At 43.6% G+C, this 17780-nt stretch overlaps 1 protein-coding gene and 1 long non-coding RNA gene across 3 annotated transcripts in view, besides 5 other annotated features; one reads left to right on the forward strand and one right to left on the reverse strand.

Annotated features, from left to right (window-relative positions):
* Positions 1156–5842, reverse strand: SND1-DT (SND1 divergent transcript). The gene is made up of 2 exons (NR_186577.1): positions 5683–5842; positions 1156–1321 (listed from the first exon to the last, which is right to left on the reverse strand). It is a non-coding gene; the product is annotated as an SND1 divergent transcript (long non-coding RNA).
* Positions 5753–6002: a silencer, noted in NCBI's record as "silent region_18595". NCBI's record gives its function as "represses an Ori minimal core promoter by ATAC-STARR-seq in GM12878 lymphoblastoid cells {active_cell/tissue: GM12878}" and the evidence as "EXISTENCE:reporter gene assay evidence [ECO:0000049][PMID:35858748]".
* Positions 5753–6422: a biological region, named in NCBI's record as "NANOG-H3K27ac-H3K4me1 hESC enhancer GRCh37_chr7:127291844-127292462".
* Positions 5800–6418: an enhancer, noted in NCBI's record as "NANOG-H3K27ac-H3K4me1 hESC enhancer chr7:127291844-127292462 (GRCh37/hg19 assembly coordinates)". NCBI's record gives its function as "activates a minimal SCP1, AML or CMV promoter by ChIP-STARR-seq in primed H9 embryonic stem cells {active_cell/tissue: H9 hESC(primed)}" and the evidence as "EXISTENCE:reporter gene assay evidence [ECO:0000049][PMID:30033119]".
* SND1 (staphylococcal nuclease and tudor domain containing 1) overlaps positions 6204–17780 on the forward strand; it is a 440400-nt gene continuing 428823 nt past the window's right edge. For both annotated transcript variants that reach the window (NM_014390.4, XM_017011987.3), the window contains exon 1: positions 6204–6461. In NM_014390.4, coding sequence (NP_055205.2) covers positions 6384–6461 — 78 coding nt within the window. In that variant the 5' untranslated portion in view covers positions 6204–6383. The remainder of the gene's footprint in view (positions 6462–17780) is intronic.
* Positions 6243–6422: an enhancer, noted in NCBI's record as "active region_26587". NCBI's record gives its function as "activates an Ori minimal core promoter by ATAC-STARR-seq in GM12878 lymphoblastoid cells {active_cell/tissue: GM12878}" and the evidence as "EXISTENCE:reporter gene assay evidence [ECO:0000049][PMID:35858748]".
* Positions 8630–8689: an enhancer, noted in NCBI's record as "active region_26588". NCBI's record gives its function as "activates an Ori minimal core promoter by ATAC-STARR-seq in GM12878 lymphoblastoid cells {active_cell/tissue: GM12878}" and the evidence as "EXISTENCE:reporter gene assay evidence [ECO:0000049][PMID:35858748]".

Genomic DNA, 17780 nt, shown 5'->3' on the forward strand with positions numbered 1-17780 from the left:
CCACATTTCAAGGGCTCATTAGCTGGTGGCTACTGTGTTGGACAGAGCACATATATGGCATTTTCGTCATTGCAGAAAGTTCTTTTAGATAGCACTGGTTTAGACAAGTTGGGTTTGTGAGGCTTTTCTTTTAAAAAAATATACAGTGTATCTTGACTCCATCCTTATTAGTTGTTGACCTAGAGTTGGCTGGTCACCTTTTCTAAGCAGTAAAGTCCTCCTTTGTGGAAAGAGATTATATCTACTTCATAGGGTTGTTCTTAAAAGAAAAAAAAAAGGAGGAGGGTGAAAGGAGAAGCTGAAAAGTAGGTCAGGGCCACGTGGTGAGGGTGCTATGCTATGTGGGGTGGGGGAGGCACTGCAATTTTAAGGAAGGAGTTGATGTGATTGTAAATTGTCTCGCTCTGTCATCCAGGCTGGAGTGCAGTGGCACAATCTTGGCTCACTGCAACCTCTGCCTCCCGGGTACAAGCGATTCTCCTGCCTCAGCCTCCCTAGTAGCTGGGATTACAGGCGCATGCCACCATGCCTGACTAATTTTTGAATTTTTAGTAGAGACGGGGTTTTGCCATGTTGGCTAGGCTGGTCTTGAACTGACCTTAGGTGATCTGCCTGCTTTGGCCTCCCAAAGTACTGGGATTACAGGTGTGAGCCTCCGTGCCCGGCTGAAAATTGCATTTTAGAAAGAACATCAGGTTGGCAGTATGGGGAATGGGTTGAAGCTGGAGGTGGGCTGGGAAGAATGGAGGCAGAAAGTTATTCCACGGTGTTGAGTTTTCTCCTGTTTTCCCAAAGGAAACTTACTGGAGAGTTGAAAACTCTTTCTTTGCTCAGCTTCTGAATTCTACAGGTACAGGCCCAGGATGAGAGGAACATGCTTGGATATCTTGGAAGCAGGCTAGTCAAATAGCTCAGAGAAGACTATTTATGGTAGAAAGTTCTAGGTTCAAATCTTGACTCCATCCTTATTAGCTGTTGACCTAGATTTGGTTCATCACCTTTTCTAAGCACTAATGTCCTCCTTTGTGGAAAGAGATTGACTATATCTACTTCATAGGATTGTCTTAAGGGTTAAATTATGTAATGTAGGTAAAAGCATGTAGCACAGAGTCTGTTTAGTGCATATGTTTAGTGCTCAATATATTCAGGCCATTATTACTGAGAGGAACATATTTCCTAAATTTATTTTCAAGGAAGTTCAAGAAATAGGATGCTTTGTTTGTTTCAGTGAATCTTGTGCATCTTCAGACTACATTCTGTGTTTGTTCTCCATTGCACACAAAAAAAGTCTTCTTTAAGGATTTCAAAGTCCCTTTCCTTCCTGTAAAGGCACAGGGGAAAGATCATGAGCTTTAGAGCCATAAGAGCTAGTGTCAAATCCCTTCTCTACTAGCATGCATTAAAAAATTAACGCATAGGTCTAGGCAATGTTCTAAGTCTTTAACATTTACTGATTCATATGATCCTGCAAACCAAAGCAATCCTATGAGGTAGGTCCTATTATCATTTTTATTCTACAGACAAGAAACCTAAGGCACAGAGATACTACACAACCTGGTCAAGGTATACAGTGTTGGGATGTGAACCATGCAGTCTGGTTCCAGGGCCTGTGTGTTTGAGTGTGCTGCTGTAGATCCAACAGATTTCCAAGACTGACTAAGGAATGGGAAAGAAGGAAGGGGGAGGAATCACAGATAACACAAAGGCTTTAGGCTTGCAACTGGGTAGCTTTAGGTACCATTGTATGGGCTGAGAAACATACTAAGGCAGAGCAGGTTTGGGAGGAAAGAGAATTAGTTCCTTGTGACACATGTTGAATTTGAATTCTTCAGGTGATAGCCATGAGCAGATTTTTTTGTTTGTTTGTTTCTGAGATGGAGTTTCGCTCTTCTTGCCCAGGCTAGAGTGCGATGGTGTGATCTCGGCTCACTGCAACCTCCGCCTCCTGGGTTCAAGGGATTCTCCTGCCTCAGCCAAGTAGCTGGGATTACAGGCATGCGCCACCACACCCGGGGCTAATTTTGTATTTTTAGTAGAGACGGCGTTTCTCCATGTTGGTCAGGCTGGTCTCGAACTCCTGACCTCCTGATCCCCCTGCTTTGGCCTCCCAAAGTGCTGGGATTACAGGTGTGAGTCACTGCGCCCAGCCCAGCCATGAGCAGATCTTTAGAGTATCGCTGGACAGATGGGTCTGGAGCTTAAAAGAGATTTTAACAGGAGTTGTATATATTTGGGAGTCATTGGTATGCAGTCATGGAAGTAGATACGATGTCTTAAGAATGTTTAGAATTAGAAAAGAAGATGCCTTCCGGAGAACCCTGAGGAACATCAATACTAAGGGGCAGGCAAAGGAGTCATCACAATGGAGATGAGAAGGAGCAGCTAGGAGATGGGAGGGATACACAGGTATAGTATCTCAGTAGAAAGGCATTTCAAAGGGCAAACAGTGTCAAATGCTATGGAGATCTCAGCAAATGGAGGTCTGAAAAGTGTCCACTGAATGTAGTAACAAGGAGGTCATCAGTGACCTTGGAGAGAACTGTTTTGGTAAATTGGTAAGGGCAATAGTCAGAATGCGGAGGGCTGAGGATTGAATATGGTGTGACGATGTGAAGGCAACAAAGAGAATTTTAGCAAGAAGATTTGCCTGTGAAGGGAGGAGAGATATCTGGAGATGGATGTGGAATGAAGGAAAAATTTATTTAATTAATTGAATTTTACAAAGCAAGAAATTTGAGAATACTTAAGTGCTAATGAGGCTGGTCTGAAGGTAGTGTTATATCAACTGATTGTTCGCTGCCAGTTATAGATTGAACTCCTTGTTCTACTCTTTTTTAAGATTAAAAAAAATTTTTTAATGCTAATGAGGAGAACCTAGGATAAACTGAGAAGCTGTAAAAACCGGAGAGGGAATGATTGGAAATGTGGAGGGGGCAGATCAAGAACTAAGACGAAGAGTTTAGCCTGAAGAGTAGGAGGGAGATTTTCTTTGTAATGTGAGACAAGGTAGCAAATGTAAGAAGCCATGTTTCCTCATTTCTGCTTCTCAGCAGAATTTCACAAAGCCCCTGACTGTGACAATGACACACCGCTACCCTGAAAGATGCTCTGAAGAAAAAACAGGATAAAGCACACGGCCCCCAGTGTCTCTTGCCTGAGTCAATGTAGTCCATAAAAGATAAATGACCTTAGTCCTTGCCTTTCCCTGCACATAAGATAACATCTGACAGAGTTAGTGGTTCTGCTTCTAACATGTATAACCAAATGTACTTTAGAGATCTATAACCAGATGTACTCTTAACACCCAAGCTTTGATGTGATTTTGCATGTACTGAACCTCCACCTCCTATATATAAGCAATGGGCTGAAACACTGTGCAGGAGCAGTCTGACAACCGCTCCTGGGCTATATGTAGTCCTTGGGCCTCAGTAAGACTTCTGGATAAAACTAACTTTAATTCTTTAAAAGCTTGATTTTTTTTTCTTTAGTTGACAGTAACAAGGGATAAGAGAGGAATGAGAAGGAAGATAAGATTTTAGATTCAGTGGTGGGAAATTGAAGGAGTTCTTGATGATTTTTTCTCCCAAGTAGGAGGCCTTATCACTTTCAGAGTGTGGGAAACAGTGGAGTCAGTTAAAACAAACTCAATAGAGTTCAAGGCTGAACTGACTGAATAAAGAGAAGAAATTCCAGGCACCGTGTGAGGGCCCATTAATTAATTCACTGTGGCACCAACCTGCAGAATTGAGTGTTTTCTCCAGGTAAGTGGTAGGTTTGAAGAAAGTAGAGAGCTATAGAGGGCCTAGAGTTGAGGTTTTGACAGGTGGGCCCAGTGAAAGACAATGGGAATTACAGATGAAGATATTGGTAGGAAAGGGGCTAAAATGATGGACAGTGCATGGAGTCTAGCCAAGGATCCAGGAGAAGGCAGAGGGGAGCTGGTAAAGCAAGGGTAGTGAGTTCAGGGACTTTAAATTCTAGTTAACGCTTGTCCTCTGTTGTCTCTCACTTGCTCTGATGGAAACCAGCTGTTATGTTGTGAGTTGCCCTATGGAGAGACCCATGTAGAAGGAAACTGAACCACTGAAAAACTGAGGCTCTTAGTCCAACATCTTGAGGAACTGAATTCTGTCAGCAACTATGAGTGAGCTTGGGAAGCAATCTACCTTCAGTCAGAGGAGGACCTTCAGATGAGACCACAGTCCCCTTCCCAACTCCCCTTGACACCTTGACTGCAGCTTTATAAGAGAAGACCTGGAGGAAAAGGCAGGCACCCACCCCAGATTCCTTACCCACAAAAACTGTGAGATAAATGCTTATTGTTTTCTTTAGTATTTAAGTTTTGGGGCAAATTGTTATGTAACTAATACAAGATATAAGATAATTAACTGAATGAGAAGGGAGAGAGGACAGCAGTTATGATCAAAGACAAAGTGTTTGAGTTTACAATCGTACCTATGAAGTTATGGTGTTTTATCTGTCTGGAGAACGTCCTAAATTGGTGCAGAGGTCAAGTTTACTGAAGATGAGATCAAGGAGCAAAGAGGTCAGGGTATGGGATAAGTCATGCTCGTAGATATTGAAGTATTTCAGGATTATTGGCTGAAGACCGTGCACCAAGTGTTAACAATTTCAATGAATGACACGGTAGAAATAGGGGTACGGTAGATAAAAAGCCACGAGATAGAGAGGGGTATAATCTGATGGAACCAACTTCCACAGAGGTTTTTTTTTTTTTTTTTTTTTTTTTTGGAAAAGGGTGGCAAATTAGGGATCTAAGAAGGTGACCTCAAAACTTAACCCTGGGATATGTTTAGTGTGGGAGAATAAACTTACAATCTTTTAAGAGAGCAAGGGGCCATGCACTGTGGTTAATGCATGTAATACCAGCACTTTAGGAGGCCGAGGTAGGAGTATAGCTTGAGCCCAGGAGACCAGCCTGGGCAACATAGTGAAATCTCAGCTCTACAAAAAAAAAATTAGCTGGGCGTGGTAGCGCGGACCCGTGGTACCAGCTCCAGCTACACCGGAGACTGAGGCAGGAGGATCGCTTGAGCCTGGGAGTGTCAAGGCTGCAGTGAGCCGTGATCGTGCCCCCGCACTCCAGCCTGAGCGACAGAGCGAGACTTTGTCTCAAAAAAGCCACAAAACCAAAGAAACAAAAAGAACTGCAAGGGAAGTACTGTCTTCAGTGTAGAGCCAAGTTTTACGATTAAATGACATAACACATGCAAGGTCCTTGGTTCCACATAGTGGGCACTCAACGAATATTAGTTCTCGCTAAACAGTCACTTAAATATTTGTAGGCCTTGGCTTTCCCGTTCCTTCCCCGACCTTTTTACTGGGGCTAGGGAAGGTATCCGGTGGCTGGAGGCGCTTCACACTGGGTCGGGTGAGAGCGTGAAGCGAGCCTTTTCCCTAACGTCACGGGAGCAGCTGGGAAGAGACCGAAGAACGAGGGTCACTCTCCCCTGTATACGTGGCATGTCCTTCCTCTGAGACATTTATTCCTCCCACCAACAAACATTAATGGAACGCCTCACAAGTGCTAGACCCCAGCGACACAAACAAGGGCGAGGCACACTCTCTGACTACAAAAAGGGCGCGCGGCCGCGTGGCAGGTCAAAGCCCACATCGGTAGGAGGTTCCACAAAGCTCTGATTTTCCAAGTTCTCTCCATACTTTTAGCCAAGGTAAAATGTCGGAAGTCGAGTGGAGCGGGTACGGAGATTCCTCCAGGACTCTGCCTGCGTGGCTCCACCCTCCCAGGCCGCATTCCCGGGTACAGCGGCGCCCACCTAGGTGGGTATACAAGTGTGCGCCCCTGAGGCCAGCGGGGAAGGACGTCATGGGCGAGGTCAGGCGGGAGGGCGCGGCTGGCTCCGCCCCTGGGGCTCCCATGGCCCCCCGCGCCCCGCGGCCAGATGCTGACGTGTCCTTTCCTTCCCACTACACCTCCCGACATTACCTACTCCGGCTGCCCCGGAAGTCCCGCCCCATATTTAGCCCATCCTTGCAAATCAACTCTTTCAGCGCTTCCTGGAACTCACCACCGTTTTGGGGACCAAGAGGCGGGGCTCCGCGAGCAGGGTGCCTATTGGCCTGAGGGCCGGCGGGCTCTGGGCGCTAATTGGGCGGAGGGCGGTGGCGCTCTGGCACGCTTGCGCGGCGAGTAGAACGTGTGGCGGCGGCGGAGATCGCGTCTCTTTCGCTCCGTGTCCCGCTGCTGCTCCTGTGAGCGCCCGGCGAGTCCGTCCCGTCCACCGTCCGCAGCTGGTAGCCAGCCTGCCCCTCGCCTCGACTCCCTTTCACCAACACCGACACCCACATTGACACCTCCAGTCCGGCCAGCCGCTCCACTCGTTGCCTTTGCATCTCCACACATGGCGTCCTCCGCGCAGAGCGGCGGCTCCTCCGGGGGACCCGCGGTCCCCACCGTGCAGCGGGGCATCATCAAGATGGTGAGAACGGGCCCCGGACACCGACCCCTCTGCCTGCCTTCGGGCGGGAGTCAGGCATTGACTCCACCTTCCGCCAGCCTGCTCCATGTCCCAGATCCCCTTTCCTCTGCCCCCTTCCTCACTTTTCGTCGATTCTCCGAATCCTCTCACTAGACGGAAGCAGACACGGAGTCCCCTTGTTCCTTGCCTCCCGGACACCTTGACATCAGGGGTCACAGTGATTTCCGAGGTTGCGGCATTCGGATCTCCTGTCTGTTTACCAGGACAGATCGATTACTGATTGATTAACAGAGACAATTCGTTGATATCTGTCCTCCCATCCCCCGTCTTTCTGTTCATTTTGACATATGCTGAGTAGTTAGTAGTTTTTCGAGATCCTGACATCGGCTCTTCTCTACTAGTACTTGGCCATCATGAAACTTTTCTGTTCCCACAAACGCTGTTACTTGACTCCCAAGTTTTCTCACTCTGTGGCCCTCTTTTCCTCTCTTTCCCTCCACCTCTTGTGTCGACCTGAAAGCTCCTGATCTTTGTGTACTTTTGACTTCTAAAAGGTTAGGCCGGCAAGAATCTTAGTAATCATCATTGTTCTCCCGTCCCTTAAAGATAAGGAGATAGGCTTGAAGAAGGCAAGTGACTTGCTTAAGGTCACATGGTGGTTTGGGTTGGAGCCATAGCAAGAGCCCAAGTGTTCGGATTCCTGGTCTAGTGCTCATAGCACTATAGATTCTGCCTGATTTTATATACCCTCAACTTTTTGAAAATTCTTCAATTTTGAATTTGAACCTGCAAAGTTTATTTTTACAATTTACTCCTAGCTCCATGATAATTTGATAATATAAATTCAGTTTATCACTTGCCCCCAGTTGTCCTCCCCAAAACCCTTCCAAATCTTGGAACCTGACATTTCTTGGTTTTACCAATTTTCTGGTTTATGATGACTGTAAACTTCTAGATGTCGTTTCATACTGCAGTTCTGACATTTGTATCTGCAACAGCAAATATCTTTTGTGATACTTTCTCCCAAGGCTCCACAAGTTTTGCTGTTGTAGAAAGTTTTGAAAAATTCTATTTTAGGCCTGGTGCGGTGGCTCATGGTGGTAATCCCAGCACTTAGGAGGCCGAGGTGGGAGGATTGCTTGAGGCCAGGAGTTGGAGATCAGCCTGGGCAACATAGCAAGACCCAGTTTAAAAAAAATTCTATTTTATTACCCTGTTATCTTTCACAAGATTAAAATGTTCTGCAGCTTATGTGTGTGTAAAGCTGATTTTAAGATCCCCTCGCCCAATTCCCATGTGCTCATTTCTTAAGGTAATAGTCTGCCACCAGCCAAGATTCTTGGGATTTTCAGTACTGCCTTTTCCTTTTGTTTATGTGTAATGGAGGGTCAGAACTGATCTGAAACTGAATGAGAAGAGAATTTCCAAGATCCGCATATATTTTTCCTCTGAAATACTGACCTGACCCATGAAAGGATTATCCTAAAGTGGCTCTTCTTTCGTTAGCTTTTTCATTTGCACTGATCTTCTCTTCACCATAGGAACAAAAACATCTCTTGGCTCTCCGGTGTTGGGTTTGGCAGTAAGAAAGAGTGGATCTTTCTGAGATTTCTCCTTGCTGAGGTTTAAATTGTTCTTAAAGGTCTCTCTCATTTGTGGAATGGGAATAGAATGAGGCTGAACATAGTTTTGTTTCCGCCAATGCTGGAGGCTTTTAGGGCATCTGGATTCTGTGCGGTGACTGCCCACAAATTACCCCCATGGATACTGAATATCACCAATTACTTGTTTATTGTCATGTCTTGTGCTGACTATTCTGCTCATATTGTCTCATTTGTAATACCTAACAAGTAGATAACGATTATCAGCCACATTTTATAGATGTGTAATTTGAGGTTTAGAAAGAATAGTTAACCCAAGGACAGGTACCTTATATTGGTAATAAGAGGCAGAGCTGAGACTTGAACCCAGGCCTGTCTGCCACGGCACATGCTCTTCAATATCATGCATGATGTCTCTGACTTCATGACTCCAGGGTATTAATTTATAACATGGAGGGTGGGGCCAGTGATGCATAACCACAAATTGCAGGAAAGTGAAGCTGTCTATAATTGAGAAAAGATTAGATGTTACTCCTTGTCTTGTCTGGGAGCTGCTATTATGGTAAATGACTTCATTTGGTGCTTATGGTCTTCACATAGGAGTATGGTGTGGAAGATGATTGAGTCTGGGTAGTGGCATATACAATTCAGTGATTTGAGCCATCTGTACTGAGTATAGATTGCACTGCCTTCTCTGACCACACTACAGGGGTTGGGTGAGTTACAGGCAGGGATTAGGGGAGGAAAGCTGAGTGAACTGCAGAGTGACAGGCAGATTTGTGCCAGGTTTAGAAGCCTTGTCTGGAATGAAAAATTGACCACTGGCAAATTGCTGTGTGTGAAGCTCTTCTGCTAAGCAAAGTTGTATTTTCCTGTAGAGTAATAGTTTCCATTGGTACTAGGAACTGCTTTGCAAGAACTCTACAAAGGAAGATGGAGCTCTGTGACAGATGAAAGTGAGAAAGAAATAGTTTGATGAATAGGAAAACAGGAGACACTACTTTTCTGCCTTTTGGGAGAGAGGTAGAAATTGGAACACTGACCTACGCTTTTCATTGTTAACTCTTTGGATTTATCTGGACTCAGGCTGAGCTGAAGGTCTGAAATCGTCTAGGGTTGAAGTTTGCTGCTGTAAAGAGGAATAGTCCTTCCTCTTTTTTGGCAAAAGAAAGTGTTGCAGGGCCGTGAAAGACACAAGTTTCTTCTGGTCTCTGCTTTGCTATCCTGTTAAGTCCTACATTATTTTGTTTAAGGTTGAAGAACTTGGGAATCCAGTTGTAAAACACTTTGACCAATTTTTAAAAAACGAGGGTGATGTTGACACCTGTGTCTGCTATTGAGAGTTGGGGTGAAGGGACAGAGTTGGTTCTGGAATATTTAAGGAGGAAGTGGACAGTAAGTTGATACAGATATTTTGGAGTTGTTCTGTTACAGAAAAAATCAGCAAGGATGATGGAAAAACTTAAGATGGATTTGTATTTTCTGAGTTGGGATGAGACTAGCAAGTATGTGGGTGGACAAAATATAACCCAGATAAATACATGTCTTCTATCAAATCAGATTTTATTTTCTCGAAACCCTGAAGGATTTAAAATCTGGGTTTCTTTGAATAATTTGCTTGATACTCTTTAACTGCAACAGAATATTGTCAGCAGATGCTAAGTAGATGAGGTTGGGAGAAGTGTTGGGTACTTAGTATAAATTGAGTCACCCCCCTTAGCTTTGAGATGGCTATTTTCTCTGGTTTTACTGACCTGGTTTACTCTCTGTTTTTTTTCTCTTTGGGTATGTTTACATGTCTTGTCAAGCATTCGCAACAGCAGAATGAATCTTGAATTCTTGAATCTTCTGTGCTTATCAGAAGCAGCCATGGAGGCAGCATATCTTATCCTACTTATGGTGTGGAAGGCTGAAGGGAGGACGGACAGTGCCAAATCCCAGTTCCCATTTCACCTTACCCTCCCCTCACCCACTTAATTGCCTCAGAAGGGGAAAGGAATGCCTCTGCCAGTCTTTTGTTTTATTCTAAGAACCATGATTCTCACTGGGTGACCAAAGCAAAGGGACACAAGGGAGGAAAGGGCCATAATTTTCTCCTTCAATGGGACTTGTGCTGTCAGGTTGTTGTAAAGCAAGATGTAGACTTCTTGCTGGGTAGCTTAGTGGTGATTCCTTCAGTGTACAGCCTTTAGGAAATCCCACCTATAATTCAGTTCATTATAGCTAAATGTTTCTTAGGTTTCTTTCTTTTTCTTTTTCTTTTCTTTCTTTCTTTTTTTTTTTTTTTTAAGATGGAGTCTCGCTTTGTCGCCCAGGCTGGAGTGCAGTGGCGCTATCTTGGCTCACTGCAACCTCCACCTCTTGGGTTCAAGCGATTCTCCTGCCTCAGCCTCCCGAGTAGCTGGGATTACAGGCGCGTGTCAGCATGCCCAGCTAACTTTTGTGCTTTTAGTAGAGTCATAGTTTCACCATGTTGGCTGGTCTTGAACTGGCCTCAAGCTGTCTGCCCACCTCGGCCTCCCAAAGTGCTGGGATTACAGGTGTAATCTTAGGTTTCTGAACTAAGAAGTGTGTGTCTTTGAAAAGTTCAGTGGGGACAGAGAAGTTTGTTGACCTGCTCGTTCTTACGTGTACTTCGCTCATGCAGGAATGTTGCGGGAAGTCAGGGACCCCGAACAGAGGGACTGGCTATGTTGAAGTATTGGGGGTGGGTTCCCCCAATACAGGAAAAAACAAACAAACAAAACCCACCTTTCCTAAGCTACTTAAAATACCCTTCTACTATTCCAAGGGATAAGGTAGCTGAATAACAATATTTTAGAAGGGCCATTTATGAAGAAGTAGATAGGCTAGGATGGAAGGCTTTTCCCAGTGGTCTTAAAATGCCCATTTCCCGGCAGGTAAGCCTGGTAGCTTTTAATCAAGATTGTAAGTAAAGGAACACTAAGTTTTTACTGTATCTTAAAGGTTTTCTGTCATTTTTCTGTCAAAAGGAAGCATCCATCTGGCTCTAGTTATGTTAGCAGTGTAATAACTAATGAAATAGAATCATAAGCAATCATACTTCCTTTCTTTCTTGAACAAATATTTATTGATCATCTGCTATCTGTCAAGCTCTGGGCATTGGAGAAACAGAATTTAAAAAGTAGATCAAATTTCTATCCTTATGGCTTATGGAGGAGTCAGACAATAAAGAAGTTAACAAGAAATAAGCATGATCATACAAGATAGTGATACCAGGTAAGGGACTGGGACAGAGTGGTTTGTAGTAAGGGAGAGGGTGGGTCCTTTGGATACTGTGTTTAGGAAAGACTTCTCAGAAGATGGCATTTGTGCTGAGATCTGATGGACATCAAAAACTAACCATAAAGGAAGGGCGTTCCTGGCCGAGGAAACAGCAAATGCAAAGCCCCTGGGGTTTCCACCATTGATGATTTATTTTTTATTTTTTATTTTTTTCAGTCAGGATTTCACTTAGTTGCCAGGCTGGAATGCAGTGGCACAATCATGGCTCATTGCAGCCTTGAACTCCTGGGCTCAAGGGATCCTCCTGCCTCAGCCTCCTCCTGAGTAGCTAGGACTACAGGTGCGTGCTACCACACCTGGCTAATCTTTTATTCTTTTTTGTAGAAATGGGGTCTTGCTATGTTGCCCAGGCTGGTCTCGAACTCCTGGACTCAAGTGACCTTCTCCACTCTGGCCTCCCAAAGTGCTGGGTTTATAGGCATGAGCCACTGCACTTGGCCTATGATTTATTCTTTAGAGTTTTTATAGTAGCTCTTCAGTTCCTTCACGTTCAGTATCCCATGTAAATAGTTTGGGTTTAACCTGAGTTATTATGTAATATATGTGTTTAAGGGTGATAAAAGGAAGAGAGGCAGTGGAGATGGTAATTTTTCTGGTACCCTGGTGAGATCAACAGCTGACATTAAGTACACTGAATAAATATTAAGAATTGGAGGCTGGGCACAGTGGCTCATGCCTGTAATCCCAGCACTGTAATCCCATCCCTGTAATCCCAGGCCGAAGCAGGTGGATCACCTGAGGTCAGGAGTTCAAGACTAGCCCAACCAACATGGCGAAACCCTATCTCTACTAAAAATACAAAAAAAATTAGCCAGGCATGGTGGCGCGCGCCTGTAGTCCCAGGTATTCCGGAGGCTGAGGCAGGAGAATCACTTGTACCTGGGAGGTGGAGGTTGCAGTGAACTGAGATCGAGCCATTGCCCTCCAGCCTGGGTGACAGAGTGAGACTGTGTCTCAAAAGAAAAAAGAATGAGAGACTGATAAGAAAAAATACTTAGTCATATGCTTGTTTCTAATAGGATTAAGACTAAGATTTTCTGACTATCAGCTAGTCCTGTGTATTCCCAAAGTCACTATTTTTCTTCTAATGGAGGGAAAAACATGGATTAAAAAAGAAAATGCCAAAAGTAGGCTTTATAAGAGCTAAATAGCATCTAGAACTTGCCATTGTTGATATTTCTCTTAGCATTTTGTTACTACATGGAATTTACTGCTGCTCTGGCCTCTGGCAGTACTTTTTTGCCTAGCAAGCTTTAGTGAACTGTGTTAGTGAAAAGCAAAGTAGCATGCTTCAGGGGATCAAAACTAATTATCAGGTAAGAACTCGCTTACGCATCCTGTGGCTCATTAACATGAGTGGGAACTTCTGAGGCCAGTGACTAGTGCTGGCAATAGTGGGCAAATGATTTGGTGAAGTCTATGCCCCAGTTTATTTGGAGGATGAAATTTGGGGAGCAAGTGAAAATTGTGATTTCTGTTTGTAGGTTTAGCAGAGAAAATTGGCCAGGTTTTTGAATTCAGGTAACAAGGTATCTAAGGCCTGTTGTCCACTCACTTCTCAGCATAGGCTAGCTATCCATCTGACAGGTGTGGTTCTAACAGGGGCATAGTAGATATCCTTTAGAGTCTGATCTTTGGATTTATTTCATTTCTCCAAGAAGAGCATAGTTACATACTGTAGGAAATTTTGTGCATTATCAGGGAAAACAAATGCAATGAAGGAACTCAACTCTTACTGGGCTTATCTGGCTTTTCCTCATATTTCTTGCTGGGAGATGAATACACAACCCGGTTTCTGTTGCTACTTCCTCTCTTGGGAGACTGACATATGCTTTTTGCTTTTACAGCAGAAATTTATGTGGAATCACAGGTTGTGAACATTCGATATAGATGGAATGTTACGGGATTTCACTTACTTTCATTAGACTCAATATAATACATTAATGATCTTTTTCTTCACTCTAATGTTTAAGAAAAAAATGAACAGTGGTTTCAGTTGGCATTTTTTAAAAATTAGGAAGTTAAGCAACTTATGGGAAAAATAAAACTAAAATTTTGATGTCATTTTCAGATGCCATTTTTGAAATGTGTAATCTATGATATAAACTGGTTTGGCACATTTTCTTCACTTATGTGCTTATCATGTGTGACTTAAGGTACCATCTCCTCTCTATTCCTCAACAAATTTTGAGGCTCTTTGGGTTCTTAGTTCTGTTTATGTGGCAAGTAGTCTGCTTGGGATGGTCTTGTAGCACCAACCTCATGTATATCAAGAGGAATAAAGGAGATTTAAAGAATCTGTGCTTAAAGTTAGTAATCTAATTTATTAACTTTGTCCCTGGAAAGCAGCATGGCAGAGAGAAGAGATCATTGGCCCAGAAGTCAGGGGACACAAGTTCTGGCCTGGGTGCTGCCATTTGGGTAATGTTGGGTAAGATATTCCACCTCAAACTCTCCTTTTCTCTAACATGAGGTTGCTGGATGCATTGTCTCTAAGCATTTTCCAGTCCCATAAGGCTGTAATTTTATAAGAAACCCTGTGTTACATTTCATTTAGGCATGCTGAAACAAAGTTGAGAAATCTCATACCTTAACGGCTTGACTTTGAATTGCCGTTTATCTTGCATAAAGCAGGTTTTCTGTTCCTATTCTTTTTTTTTTTTTTTTCTAATCTTTAGTTTGAGAAAGAAGATTAGTGGAAATATGGTTTTCCAGTGTGGAAGACCAGAGAGTTAGAATGAGACTAAATGATTGAATGGTGGGGTGGAGAGAGGGTAGATAGAAGTAAGGGGAGTTCTTGGTTTCCTTTCAGTAGTGTATCATGATAAACTAGTGGGAGTGTTGCTTGAGACCCAGAGGAACATGGTTCTAGTGGGTTTTATTCACCTAGTCCTATCTCTGCTTCAGAACACTGTGACATTTTCCTGGTGCAGCAGATCTTGACTTGAGAAGGGAAGGAGAGAGGAGGCAACTTAGGGAGCCTCTGGCTCATAGGGAGAGTCTATTCTTGCCCTGCTCTTGACTGGGAGACTGTGGTGGGAGTGTGGGGGCTAATAGGGTCCTGAGCTCTGTTCTTCTTGCTTGGAGCCAGGACTTTGGTTTTTGTTTAGTTTTGTTTTCAGATCTTTTTCAGTTCTATTTAATGCACAAGTACAAGTTGAGTAGCCCTTATCTGAAACGCTTGGACTAGAAGTGTTTCAGTTTTTGGAATATTTGCATTATTCTTAGGGCTTAGCTTCATTCACCTGGAAATCTCATATTCAAAATCCTCCAGTGAGCATTTTCTTTGAGCATTATGTTAGTGTTCAAAACATTTCAGATTTTGGATTTTTGGATTAGGGATGTTCAACCTGTATAGGAATCATTTTAATCTATTTTTGGCAGTTGCTCACACAGTTTCTTTACTTTTGAGTTTATTTTTTATGGTAAGCCTTCTTAAATCCTTTCTGGGAGTAGATTCAGAGTGAGAGAAAGGAGCCCAGTGATTTCCTAAACAGGTCATCGCATCAGGACAACCTAGAAGACGTTTCCCAGGCATTGAATTAGAAGCTCTGGGACTGGCCTGGAAAGGTCTATTTTCAAAAAAAAGCCACTCCTAGGCTATTCTGAAAGAATCAGTTTGGGATTGATCTGGGGCTGGCATGTGAGATCCACTGATCTTGTTTAACTCCTGTACTGTTTGTAGTTGAAGGGGCGGGACATAAATGATAAGTGAAATGTATGTATGTGGGGGTGGGTGCACCAGAATTTTATGAGGGGAGGATAGTGGTTTCTTTCTCTTCGCGTTTGTCTTGATGGTTCCCAGGACGCTTTGTTTTTAATTTGTGGCTCAATATTGGGCTGGGGTCCTCAGGGTCCACTTATAGTGACTCAGATCCTATTCCTAGGTCACAACTGACAGCTGAGAAGTTGTTTTATATTCCTGATTTAGGCCATATGCTCATTTTAACACTCATCTGCGACTTTTCCTTCTGTTTGCATAGATTCCCAGGATCTTCCTGTAATTTGGCACCAATAACTTGGCACATTATTTCAATGGAAGTCTTTAGTGTCATTTACAAAACTAAGATTTTAAATTCCTCACTTTCTGTTCTTGCAATCCTGAGGAGCTTCATCCCTAGGCCTTTTGGATCTCTCCTGTTTCTTATTCATAGGCCCCATTCTTAACAACACTAAAACCCCAAATGATCTACTCAATGGTCTTAGTCTTTATATTCCACTAGCTTGTCTAATATGGAAGTAAAAATAATTCTCAGGTCTTACGAAGTCCTTATGATTAGGGGTCACATTTACAGTTCCCTTGATGGCCTTTTTTCATTTTGGTCAACAGTTTTCCAGTTTATCCTGGAATTCCTTCAGAGCGTTCAGGTGGATGTCATCCAGTGTTAGTAATTGAATAATTGGTATTTCTATACTCAACTTGCTGTTAAAATTTCAAGCAGTAGAGAGGTATGAAGTAAAAAAGAAAAATCCCTAGCTGGGCATGGTGGCCCACGCCTGTAATCTCAGCACTTTGGGAAGCCGAGGTGGGTAGATCACTTGAGGTTAGGAGTTTGAGACCAGCCTGGCCAACATGGCAAAACCCCATCTCTACTAAAAATACAAAAATTAGCCGGGCATGGTGGTGCGTGCCTGTAATCCCGGTTACTCAAGAGGCTGAGGGATGAGAATCTCTTGAACCTGGGAGGTGGAGGTTGCAGTGAGCCAAGATCATGCCACTGCACTGCAGCCTGGGCGGCAGAGGAAGACACAGTCTCAAAAAAAAAAAATCTCTCTCTCTCTGCCCTCCTTGCCCCTCAGTTTTCTACCATTCATTCTCATCCTCCCAGCAAACGTCAACAGTGTATTTGCTTCCAAAATGTTTCATGCAGATACACACCCTCTCCTCCTTTTTAAAAGAAACTGAAATAGGGTCAATCTCTATGTGTCTGGCAATTTTCTTTTTTTAGTAAATTGTCATGACTATCTTTCTGTCGTAGATCTACCTCATTCTTTTTTAATGGTTGAGCGGTATTCCACAGTTTGGATGTATATTATCTATTTTTCTGTTGATATATGTTGTTTTTAGCTTTTCATAATTCTAAGCACTATTGCACTGATTGAACTGTATATCTTTGTGCTCTGATGCTAGCGTTTGTATAAGATAGATTCTAAAAGTGCAGCCACTGGTACCTTTTTTGTAACCTTTTTTGTTTTTGGTGGTGGTTGGGGTGCTTTACTTGTACCTTAGCTGTTTATTTCTTACAGGTGTCATGTTAGATAAAATTTAGGGTAAAATACTGCTTAGTAGCTCATTACTCAATAGTTTTTTTGTTTGGTAGTTTTATTTCCCCAATAAGACTATTCCTGAAAGCCACTTTGCCTTTTCTGTGGAGCGCAGGGCCCAGCACCTGGGCCTTGGTAAATAATTACTGTTGTCCCTTGGTATTTGGTTCCAAGACTTCCCCAACCTCCCAATATCTGGAGATGCTCAAGTCCCTTGTATAACATGGGATAGTATTTGCACATAACCCGTGCACAACCTCTTTTATCTTTTTTTTTTTTTTTTTTTTGAGACAGAATCTCTCTGTCACCCAGGCTAGAGTACAGTGGCACAATCATGGCTTACTGCAGCCTCAACCTCCCAGGCTCAGGTGATCCTCCCACCTCAGCCCGCTGAGTAGCTGGGACTACAGGTACATGCCACCACACCCGGCTAATAAATTTTTTGTGGAGACGGGGTCTCCCTGTCTTGCCTAGGCTGGTGTTGAACTCCTGGGCTGAAATGATCCTCCTGCCTCAGCCTCCAAAAGTGCTGGAATTACAGGTGTGAGCCACTGTGCCCAGCCTCCTGTATGCTTTAAATCATGTCTAGGTTACTAATAATACCTAATACAGTGTAAATGCTATGTAGATAGTTGCTATATTTTATTGTTTTAAAATTTTTTTATTGTTGCATTGTTATTCTTACTGTTTTTTTCTTGAATATTTTTGACCCATGGTTGGTTGAATCCACGGATGTGAGGGCCTACTGTACTTCTTTTTTTTTTTTTGAGATGGAGTCTCGCTCTGTCGCCAGGCTGGTGTGCAGTGGCACAATCTCGGCTCAGTGAAACCTCCACCTCTCGGGTTCAAGTGACTCCCCTGCCTCAGCCTCCCAAGTAGCTGGGACTACAGGTGCATGCCACTATGCCTGGCTAATGTTTGTTTTTTGTATTTTAGTAGAGATGGGGTTTCACCGTGTTGGCCAGGATGGTCTCCATCTCCTTACCTCGTGATCCGCCTACCTCGGCCTCCCAAAGTGCTGGGATTACAGGCGTGAGCCACCACGCCTGGCCTTACTGTACTTCTTAATTGGTTGCCGGCCCCGCCAACCCCAGGTGTCTTAAGGTCTTAATACTGACAGGTGGAGTAGATCCTTTTTGGCTTTGTT

Source organism: Homo sapiens, chromosome 7, assembly GCF_000001405.40.
Source record: "Homo sapiens chromosome 7, GRCh38.p14 Primary Assembly".
NCBI classification, from domain to species: domain Eukaryota; kingdom Metazoa; phylum Chordata; class Mammalia; order Primates; family Hominidae; genus Homo; species Homo sapiens.